Source organism: Homo sapiens, chromosome 1, assembly GCF_000001405.40.
Source record: "Homo sapiens chromosome 1, GRCh38.p14 Primary Assembly".
Taxonomy (NCBI): domain Eukaryota; kingdom Metazoa; phylum Chordata; class Mammalia; order Primates; family Hominidae; genus Homo; species Homo sapiens.
Window position 1 is genome coordinate 148,358,941 of NC_000001.11, and position 11,824 is coordinate 148,370,764.

At 45.3% G+C, this 11,824-nt stretch overlaps 2 non-coding genes across 2 annotated transcripts; both read right to left on the reverse strand.

Annotated features, from left to right (window-relative positions):
* Window positions 1-1,002: 1,002 nt before the first annotated feature.
* Window positions 1,003-10,480, reverse strand: LOC124904396 (uncharacterized). The gene is made up of 3 exons (XR_007066537.1): window positions 10,378-10,480; window positions 3,719-4,446; window positions 1,003-3,344 (listed from the first exon to the last, which is right to left on the reverse strand). It is a non-coding gene; the product is annotated as an uncharacterized LOC124904396 (transcript).
* RNVU1-1 (RNA, variant U1 small nuclear 1) lies at window positions 3,430-3,593 on the reverse strand. Its single transcript, NR_104082.1, has one exon. It is a non-coding gene; the product is annotated as an RNA, variant U1 small nuclear 1 (small nuclear RNA).
* Window positions 10,481-11,824: the final 1,344 nt, after the last annotated feature.

Below are 11,824 nucleotides of genomic sequence, written 5' to 3' on the forward strand. Positions count from 1 at the left end.
TATCTATTATATATATACATATATATAGGAGCTAAATATTATATATATACATATACATATATATATATACATATATATATGTATATATATATATATGCTTTTCTAATATTGAGCTTAGACTCTATTTTTATTTTACAAATATTCCATTTGGGTCCGGCGCGGTGGCTCACGCATGTAATCCCAGCACTTCGGGAAGCCAAGGCGGGTGGATCACGAGGTCAGGAGATCGAGACCATCCTGGGTAACACAGTGAAACCTCATCTCTACTAAAAATACAAAAAATTAGCCGGGCGCGGTGGCGTGCGCCTGTTGTTCCAGCTACTCAGAAGGCTGAGGCGAGAGAATGGCGTGAACCCGGGAGGCGGAGCTTGCAGTAAGCCGAGATGGCGCCGCTGCACTCCAGCCTGGGCAACAGAGCGAGACTCCGTCTCAAAAAAAAAAAAAAAAAAAAAAACAAAAGCAAAAACGAAAAAACAAAAAACAAAAACGAAAAAACAAAAAACAAAAAACAAAAAACAAATATTCCATTTAATGGTGCATGAATTTAACTGAAGACAAAGAGACAGAAACAGAAACGAAGGAATTCCTGAACTCTCAATCACATTTAGAGAGACGCTTTTCTAAAGGAATCCTCTAAAGCTAAACATAAGTTAAATTAAGTAGAATGCATTATGATTTGCAGTGTTTGTTTGTTTGTTTTTGAGATGGAGTTCTTGTTTTGTTTTGTTTTGTTTTTCTCTGTTGCCCAGGCTGGAGTGCAGTGGCTCGATCTCAGCTCACTGCAACCTCCGCCTCCCAGGTTCAAGCAATTCTCCTGCCTCAGCCTCCCAAGTAGCTGGGATTACAGGCGTGTGCCACCATACCCAGCTAATTTTTGTATTTTTAGTAGAGATGGGGTTTCACTATGTTGGCCAGGATGGACTCGATCTCTTGACCTTGTGATCTGCCTGCCTCAGCCTTCCAAAGTGCTAGGATTACAGGCATGAAGCACTGTGCCCGGCCTTTTTCTTTTTCTTTTGTTTTCTTTTTCTTTTTCTTTTTTTTTTTTTTTTAGAGCAGCATCACTTGCTCTGTCACCCAGGCTGGAGTGTAGTGGCGCGATCTCCACATGCTACAACCTCCACTCCCAGGTTCAAGAGATTCTCCTGCCTCAGCCTCCTGAGTAGCTGGGATTACAGGCGTCTACATCACACCCAGCTAATTTTTTTTGTATTTTTAGTAGAGATGGGGTTTCTCCATGTTGGCCAGGCTGGTTTCAAACTCCTGACCTCAGGTGATCCGCCTGCCTCAGCCTCCCAAAGTGCAAGGATTACAGGCGTGAGCCACCACGTCTGGCCTGCAGTGGTTTTCTTACTACTTTTTACAATCAAATTGATTAAGGCATTGGTTGAATATGGTACAATACATCCATTTCAAGTTTGATGACATGTCTACTACTCCAGAAGGTCCTCTTGTGCCCTTTGCAGTCAGTCCCCTCGACTCCCTGACCCCAGCAATTAATGATGTATTTTCTGCCACTATACAGGTTAGTTTCACCTGTTCCAGAAATTCACCTTGATGGCACCACACAGAATGCACTCTTTTGAGATTCACCCATGTTATCTCATGTTTCCATAATTTGTCCCATCTTACTGAGGGTGGTATTCCATTGGATGAATATATCACAAAAGGTCCATTAACCTCTTGATACATATGAACTGTTTCCAGTTTGGGGACTATTGTAAACAAAGCTGCTAAGAACAAGTTCTTTTTGTTAATATTTGTTTTGTAAATTCCGTTTGTCATTCTTTAGTATTAACTTATTTTGTAAAAGGACGTAATCTTCATAAGTGCAAAATTCATTCAAATTTTACAGAGGCCTGAAGCAGAAGCCTACACAATTTCCTTTGTTATATTTCATAATTAAGGGGGAAAAAACTTTATCTGGGATGTTGTTTCCTATCAGCAAATCCTTAATGTAAGCCATACAGGATGCTAGCTGTACTATTAGACTATCTTCTGTAATCTGTGCAATAACTCTAAGAAGTACTTCGTCTTATTATTTTCCTGTAACACTTTCCAACTTGAAGCCTAGCAAATTGAAGGACCTGGCCCCAGGTCAAACAGAAGGCAAGCGGCAGCGCCAGTACTGGAAGAAGGCCTTCCCAAAGGCAGACAGAAGCTCACGTCTTTGTCAGAACCTCGGTATTTCTGATGCGCCTGGAAGCCAATATCCAAGCCGTTCTCAGCCACTGGATTGGTGGGCTGCTTTGCTCAGAAACTCCTCGATCAGGAATCCCAAGCATACGTTAGTGATGACGGTCCCAAAACAAGGGACATTTCTTAACCATTCTAAAAACCCGTTTGCTCATTAGTAACGCAATGAAAGTTGCTTTCGTCTTGGTTCATATATTTTATATTTGAGCAAGGCAATGTCCGCTGCTGGGGTTAGAAGTAAATGGCTCGTCTTCATCAAACTAGATCAGTCCGTAGGACGTATGGCTTCCACTCGCAGTGTCCTGAACACTGGCTGGGCTTCCTGTGCGTTCTAGCCGGTTTTCTTTGGAGCCGCGGGTTTCTGCACCGCACCCTAGTCGGGATGGCAGAGGCTTCTCGGAACACGCGGATCTATGAGTGCAGTCCCCGGGGTAGCCACCAGGGAACGCCATAGGCTTTCCCGCTGTGTTCCTCCTTGCCTTTTCCGTTTGGGCCAGGTAGTTTCTATTGACCAGGACATTACAGATCAGAAGTGGGTGGGGTCAGAAAACACACCCTGGGAGAGGCTGGCAAAATGCCCAGAACCGCCATCACTAGGACTGGGGTTTTCTTCTGTAGTGGAATTCTCGTGTTCATGTAGTGCAGGGAGGATCGCAGCGCATTTCCGCCAAGACAAGTGAGACTGCGGTTCTGACCTGCGGGCCTCGATGAATTGCGTTAGGACACCTGGGCGCTGGCAGAGCCGTTCTCCTACACAAAGCAAGCGTGTTATGTCTACAACCGAACGGGGACACTAAGAGCCCCAAAGGCCCTGCTTTCATCCCAAAGAAGAGTGCCTGTCTGCGTAGTTTCCACCTGGCTCTATGAGGTGAGAACTGATTCCTCGCTAGCACAGAAATCCTGAAACAGAGGCTGTGTAAAAGGTGACAGGGGCCTAGGGGAAAACACGAAGATTTTCACAGAGCGTGAGACCCCAAGAGACTGGAGACCATGGATCAATTTTTGCAATAAGCAGCCTTATGTTCAAAGGGAAAAGCTATGCAGCCTTCGCGCTAGTTAACTTGTGATAAACAGGCTCACAACGGCTGACGCTTGTTCCTTCTCCAGCGAGGACAACGACATGCCACTTCTGTTCCCCAGCCATCCAACTGTAAAAATAACATGACACCACCCATATTATGCACTACTAAAAGTATCCCTTCACATACAATCTGCGTTTTCCAGCACAAAATTCAGAGGACAGCGCGAACGCAGTCCCCCACTACCACAAATTATGCAGTCGAGTTTCCCACATTTGGGGAAACGGCAGGGGTCAGCACATCCGGAGTGCAATGGATAAGCCTCTCCCTGGGAAAACCACCTTCGTGATCATCGTATCTCCCCTGCCAGGTAAGTATGAGATCATACGCCTCCGCCCTGCCACAGCTCCATACGCCTCACCCCTTACACGCACGGTCACTTCCCACGCGCAACCCCCCACCGCCCCCCACCCCCACCCCCAGCCCTCCTAGCCCTGACACACAGCTGGGACTATCACGTCCAACCGGCGGTCCTGGACTTGCTCCCACAGCAGGAGAAATCCTCCGTGGCGAAGCAGCAGCCCCTGAGATGCCTCATCTACACAGGAATCGCCCTATCCGTGATGTCACCGACAGCACCTTTCCCGGTCCGGCTCTGCTCTTCTGCCCCACCCTCTGCCACCTCAGCCGATGAACCCGCTGCGGGAGCCGGCGGAGGAAGTGACGCCTGCCTCTCCCTCTTTTCCCTCCCATCCACGCCCCTGGTCTCTCCCAGAGAAGTAGGTTCTTAGTCTGTGATGCCAAGGACCCCTTTGGCGGCCAGCTGGAGCCTGTGCGCTCTTCTTCAAATAATGTCTTTTAATGCGCAAACTAGAAAGTTCAGGATTACAAAGAAAACTGGTTCTTTTCACATACGGTTATCCTTGTGATGTAGCATTCCGCTTGACATTGGAAGTCGTTCGATATCAGAGAGAAACCATATCTACGAAACTAGAGAGGCTGCTCAGATGACTACAAACCAGCCATTCTTACTTGTTTTATCACTGGGAGTGTTATAAAGATGGTCGTCCAGTTTCATGATTCTTGCAGGGTTTTTTCAAATACAGCAATGTACAAAAATGTGCTGCTCCAGCAGAGCACACTGGACACGCAGACATGGTGCCGGAGTTTGCCATCTCTTCCACTGCCTTCTCTAGACCTTGGCGCTTACCTCATGTTAACAGTTTATATGCTGCAAAGACAGAAACAAAGTCATCCAAATTTGGCAAAAATATTTGGGGGAAATTTTATTTCAGGTGTTTAACTGATTACTTTTAATATGTAGACTACAACACCAAACTCTGACAATACTCCACAGACTTATTAATGGTTTCCACCCCCCTCTCTGCAAATCTATCAGGCAAGTTTTTCCTGCCCTTCACTTTCATATAAGCTGAGTCATACAGTGTGTAGTGGGTTTTGTGGGGAGTGTTACTGCCCAACATGTTCACCTTGCCTGCTGCCTAGACAGAGCCAATTTTTCGACACAGGGGAATTGCAATAAAGACCTGCACTTTTTATTTGGTGGTTGGGGGCCAGTGAGTTGAGAGTTGTGATTGGTCAGGTCGGAGATGAAGTCACAGGGAGCTGAAGCTGTGGTCTTCTGCTGGGTCAGTTCCTGCGTGGGGGCCACAAGACCAGATGAGCCAGGTTATCAGTCTAGCTGGTGCCAGCTGATCCACTGAGTGCAGGGTCGGCAAAATATCTCAAGCACTGATCTTAGGTTTTCCAATAACGATGTGATCTCCAGGAACAATTTGGGGAGGTTTAGAATCTTGCAGCCAGAGGCTACATGACTCCTAAACCATAATTTCTAATCTCAGGGCTACTTTGTTAGTCCTGCAAAGGCAGTCTAGTCCCCAGGCAGGAAGGGGGTTTGCTTTGGGAAAATGATATTATCATCTTTGTTTCACAGCTAAACCATAAACTAATTTCCTCCCAAAGTTATTTCGGCCTGTGCCCAGCAATCAACAAGGACAGCTTGGACGTTAGAAACAAGATGGAATCAGTTAGGTCAGATCTCTTTCACTGTGATAATTGTCCCAGTTGTAACTTTTGCAAAGGCGGTTTCAGAAGCAGAGGCATAGGTTTGACTTCTTTCACTCAGTCTTATGTCTATGAATTTTTCATGTTATTCATATGGTTATTTGTTTCTATGTGTATTCCTTTGTAGGAATATACACTAACTTATTTATTTCTTCTGCTATTGTTGAGCATGTTGACCTAAAAGAAAGAGGCTGAAGCACAAAATATAATTTAGAGTTTACCTGAGCCAACATGAAGAGAGCTGCCTGGAAGACTCACACTCAAGGAACCTTGGATCTGAGCTCCCTTTGATCTTTGTCACAAGCAGGTATTTAAAGGTCAAAAGCAGGGACAGACAGTGGGCTGACAGAAAGGTGCCTGTCAGGAGTTCTCATTGGTTTACAGAAATAACATTGATTGGTGATTGGCTATATGTTGTTAAGTTATAGGGTATGGGGGTACAGGGATTGGTGTGGCATTATTAGGTTAATTTACAGCTACTTGAGGCAATAGCAAGCAGTTTCAACAGATGAATACATAGCTCAGTGCAGCTCAAAAGGAAGGAGCAGAAAGTGGTTGCTGTCTCGATTTAACCTCTCTCTGGGCCTGATCATCTGAGAGGGCTCACATTCCTCAGATAAAACATTTTTAAAAAACTTTCTTCTTGAAAGCATTGATGATCAAAAGCTCATTCAAGGTGTCCCTCTTTGCCAGAAAGGCTTATTCCTGGATAGTCCTGTCCCAGGCAGGGGACAGGGGAGGAAAGAAGCCACCTCACTGAGGAATTTTTAAGAATGCCCAAAAGTCCAATTGAAAGGGCATTACAACCAGGCACGGTGGCTCACATCTGTAATCCCAGCACTTCAGGAGGCCAAGATGGGTGGATTGCTTGAGTCCAGGAGTTCGAGACCAGCCTAGGCAACATGGCAAAACCCCATCTCTACAAAAAACACAAAAAATAGCCAGGTGTAGTGGCACACACCTTAGTCCCAGCTACTCAGGAGGCTGATGTAGGAGGATTGCTTGAGCCTGGGAGTTCAAGGCTGCACTGAGCTAAGATCACACCACTGCACTCCAGCCCAGGTGACAGAGTGAGACTCGGTCTCAAAAAAAAAAAAAAAAAAAAAAGAGAGACAGAGAGGCCTCAGTTAAGTCTGCAGCTTCTGTCACTTGTTGAATCATCTCTAGTCTTCAGAATACCATGAAATTAGTTTTCTCAGAAGTAAAACGATGAGAAATACATAACAATAATGACATTGCACTTCATCATTCCATTTCCTAAGACATTTATAGGGCCATGGATGGTGATCTTTTCAAGAGACAAAAATAAACGCGGGTGCAGAACAGGTAAGTGCACTATAATTTGAGTACATCAGCTTTTGGGCATTAAAATCGTGGGTCAGAAATTTAGAGCAAGAGGGCAGGCTGGATCCTGATAGCAGGAGAGTGTGTGTGTGTGTGTGTGTGTGTGTGTGTTTTGAGACGGAATCTCACTCTGTCGCCCATGCTGGAGTGCAGTGGCACAATCTCGGCTCACTGCAAGCTCCGCCTCCCAGGTTGACGCCACACTGAGATTCCCTAGTAGCTGGGACTACAGGCGCCTGCCACCATGCCCGGCTAATTTTTTGTATTTTTAGTAGAGACGGGGTTTCACCGTGTTAGCCAGGGTGGTCGCGATCTCCTGACCTTGTGATCTGCCCGCCTCTGCCTCCCAAAGTGCTGGGATTACAGGCTTGAGCCACCGCGACTGTCCGAGTGTTTTTCTTTTAACTTTCCAGTAGCATCATGGTGTTTACCACTGTTATTTCAGAGTGAAGTGACAATTTTGTTGTTTGGTTGGTTTTGTACTTTTTATTTTTATTATAATTACTTTTTAAGTCAAGGACTCTGTCTCCCAGGCTGGAGTGCAGTGGCAAGGTCACAGCTCAGTGCAGCCTTGACCTCTAGACCTCCAAGGCTCAATGGCTCAGCCTCCCAAGCAGCTGGGACTACAGGCACACATCACCACACCCAGCTTATTTATTTTTTGAGACAGGGTCTCACTCTGTTATCCAGGCTGGAGTGCAGTGACATCATCAGGGTTCACTGCAGGCTCGAACTCCTGAGCTCAAGTCATCCTCTTACCTCATGCTCCTGAGTAGCTGGACTACAGGTGGACACCACCACACCCAGCTAATTTGTATATATTTTACAAAGTCAGTGTTTCACCATTTTGCCCAGGCTAGTCTCAAACTCCTGGGCTCAAGTAACCCTCCTGCCTTGGCCTCCCAAAGTGCTGGGATTACAGGCAGTTATTTTGACAATACGATTATGATGGTTAAACTGAGACGTGTGCCAGGAAGGTTAGGGTGACTCAGACAGATTAGATAAACAGGTTTTGCTTGATATGACCCTGAGTTGCATCGTGAGTGCAATCAGGAGGAATACAGGTGAAATTTAGCACAGGATGTACCAATGGGTCATTACGGTCAAAAGTGGTTTGTGGTTCTGAGTGGCAAACCTGGAACCTTGTCAAATTTCCCACAGAGGTAATGGTTTGTGAGATTCTGATCAGAGAATTATCCCTCCCTGCTGTAATCAAATTAGTTAGGGACAGTAAAACAGAAATCTGATCATAAGTATTTTGCTATGTATGTATGTATATGTATATACACATACACACAATAGGACTAGTGTGGCATATCTTAAGAGAATATGCATATAGGGTGATTTTACCAAAACCACCAAGAGACAACCCCTACAACTTAAAGGAGCCCTAATGGTGTGTGTATTCCAGTCAACAAAAAAGAGACTAACTCTTTCAGGTGCAGTGAGCACTGGAATTGTAACTGATTATACAGGCCAGTATCTTGGGTGAAAGCGGACTACCACAGATGTCAGCTACTTGCCATCTCTGTCAGGAAGATTGAGTTACCTTTAAGTGAAAATCTCCTGACAGATGTTCACTCTGGCAGGGTTGCCTTTTACAAGAGAAACATGAATCCGTGTGTCAACGCACGTAAGTTTAATGGCACAGATTGGTCAGTAATACCTGTTGTGAGTCAGGTGCAGTGGCCCATGCCTGTGGTCCCAACTATTTGGAAGGTTGAAGCAGAAGGATGGCTTGAACCCAGGAGTTCAAGGCTACATTGAGTCATGATTGTGCCACTGCATTCTGGCTTGGGGAATAGAATGGGATCCCATCTCAAAAAAATGTATAAAATAATAATAATACCTGATGTGGTCCCTTCCAACAGTCTTGGGGGGAATATTTTATTTGGTGTTGTTTCTAGTAAACAACATCTCCAGGTTATAGGCCGTGATTTTTAGTATTTTCATCTCCCAGGAGTGCATTATGAAAGGAATCCTTTATTAATGTGGAGTTCTTAGTAAGTTTTGAGAGATCTTAGCAGTAATGGAGAAAGTCACCTTTAAGAAGTGCAGATTCATAAGCGCCTTCATCTAACCACTGCATGGGTCTTCCGTTATTATTTCAAAGAGAGGGAGTGTGGACATTTTCCAGAACCAGTGGGAGATCCTTGGCCAAGAAAGGTTAAAAACTTCTGTTAGCTTTGCCAACTGAGTTTTTATTGTGTCATTAGTACATTCCATCGGCCCAGAGGATTATGGGTGACAGGCACAATGGAAATGTTGGGACATAGGCAAAACATTACAAATGGATCCAATTACCTGACCAATGAAGTGTGTTCCTCAGTTGCTATGGCATTCAGATGGCACTCCCCATGAGGAATTACCTTTTCTTTTCTTTTTTTTTTTGAGATGGAGACTAGCTCTATTGGAAGGCTGGAGTGCAGTGGCACGATCTCAGCTCACTGCAACTTCCGCCTCCCAGATTCAAGCAATTCTCCTGCCTCAGCCTCCTGAGTAGCTGGGACTACAGGTGTGCACCACCACGCCTGGCTAATTTTTGTATTTTTAGTAGAGACGGGGTTTCACCATGTTGGCCAGGATGGTCTCGATCTCTTGACCTCGTGATCTGCCCACCTTGGCCTCCCAAAGTGCTGGGATTACAGGGGTGAGCCACTACGCCCAGCCAGGAATTACCTTTTCTAATCACAATCTACCTACTACTTGGGCTGTGGCTCATTGGCATGGAAATGCTCACCCCAGTGAGCACGTACAAATTAACACCAGAAAGTATCTGTGACCCTGAGATGGAGACAGCTGGATAAAGTCTAACTGCCATGTCTCGAAGGGTCCTAAAGTTAAAATGTCCTTGTGACCCATGAAGGGGCTTTCCAGGGTGATGTTTGGGACAAACAGTACCACAAGAATAAACCTTTTCTGCAATCATAGGCAATGATTTTCAATACCATTGCTTTCCCCATGCTAACATTTTATCTGATTTCCAATGAGGCAGCTTATGAAGTACTGTATTCAGGGTAATTGAAGCCTAAGGGGTGGATCAGTGTATCATTGGGCCCATACCATAAGCCTGTTTCTGGAAGAAACTTGTTCCCTTTATCCTTCCAGAGATCCCTCTCCTGCTTAGGAGCTCCCACTTACGCTTCTTTTTTTTTTTGCTAGAGTCTAGCTGTGTTACCCAGGCTGGAGTGCAGTGGAGCAATCTCGGCTCACTGCAAACTCTGCCTCCCAGGTTCAAGCAATTCTCGTGCCTCTGCCTCTCAAGTAGCAGGAATTGTAGGCATGTGTCACCACACCAGCTAATTTTTGTATTTTTAGTAGAAACAGGGTTTCATCATGTTGGCCAGGCTGGTCTCAAACTCCTCACCTCAAGTGATCCACCAGCCTGGGCCGCCCAAAGTGCTGGGATTACAGGCATGAGCCACCATGTCCAGCCCACTTTTACTTCTAATGAAGTCTTCAATGGGTCATAAGTCAGCAAGGTCATTTCGAGAAGTTCTGTGTCTGATGCCACCTTCAGAACTGCATTCTTAGCTGCAGCATCAGCAAAATGATTGTCCTTGCTCTCCGGAATATCTAGTTTTGAATGACCAGGAATTTTGATGATGGCCAAAGATAAGGGTTTTCAAATTGCTTCTAAGAGATCAGAGATTTATTGGTCATTTTTGATGGCTTGACCTGATGAAATCAGATACCTATGTTGCTTCTAAAGCATTCCAAAATCATCACCTACTCCAAATGCATCTCTGCTCCCAGTGTAAATGTTAGGCTGAGGTGGAAGGATTGATTGAGCCCAGGAGTTCATTCAGGTCCAGCCTGGAAAACACAGCAAGATGTCCTCTCTACAAAAAAAAAAAAAAAAAAATCAAAGAATTAGCTGGGCATTGTGGCATGCACCTGTGGTCCCAGCTACTCGGGAGGCTGAGGTGGGAGTATTGCTAGAGCTGAGAGGTTGAGGATGTGGTGGGCCATGATGGAGCCACTGCATTCCAGCCTGGGTGACAGAGTGAGACCCTGTCTCAATAAATCAATAAATAAATCTTAACCATTTAAAATATCAATGACAGATTTGTTTGGCCTTTTAAGTGCATTGCTGAATTCTCCAATCTACATATTGGGGAACAACCTGGGTAATGGCAACATGGAGGTATTTGGCAAAAATGCAGACCCTTTCATTGTCTGCTTCTGTCTGTTTTTAAAAACCCTCTAAAGGATTATTCCAATTCACCCTTTCCAACCATTTAGTGGCCCTGCCTTCTTACACCAACATGTGAATTAATTGATAAAGATCAGAATATCCAGGCTCAAAAGTTTGGACAATTAAGTCAAATTTTCTCCTAAACCCTATAGGATCTTGGAGGTTGCTTTTGAATTAGAAAGGGAAAATTCAGCTGGGTGCAGTGGCTCACGCCTGTCATCCCAGCACTTTGGGAGGCCAAGGCGGGTGGATCACAAGGTCAGGAGTTCAAGACCAGTCTGGCCAAGATGGTGAAACCCCCTCTCTACTAAAAATACAAAAAAATTAGCCAGGCATGGTGGTGGGCACCTGTAATCCCAGCCACTTGGGAGGCTGAGGCAGAGAATTGCTTGAACCCGGGAGGCGGAGGTTGCACTGAGCAGAGAAAAAAAAAAAGAAAGAAAGAAAGAAGGGGAAAATTCATGTAAATTTTCATCAGGGAAGTCTTTTTTTTTTTTTTTTTTTTTTTTTTGATACAGAGTCTTGCTGTGTCACCCAGGCTGAGTGCAATGGCATAGTCTTGGCTCACTGCAACCTCCACTTCCCAAGTTCAAGAGATTCTCCTGCCTCAGCCTCCCGAGTAGCTGGGATTGCAGTCATGTGCCACCATGACTGGCTAATTTTTGTATTTTTAGTATAGATGGGGTTTCACCATGTTGTCCAGGCTGCTCTCAAACTCCTGACCTCATGATCTGCCTGCCTAGTCCTCCCAATGTGCTGGGATTACACGCAAGAGCCACTGCGCCCAGCCCAGGGAAGTCTTTTTATAATATTCTTAATTCACATTTTGGTGAAGCAGTATACAGAATGGTAGGCTCCCCTCTTCCTGTGGGTTTTACCTTGAAAGGGGCTGTCAGAACAGAAGTTTCAGGGAAGGGGCCAGAGCCCTGGGGACTTTCCTCAGGTGATGGTGATGGAAGAAGAGGCAAGGCAGGACCAGAGG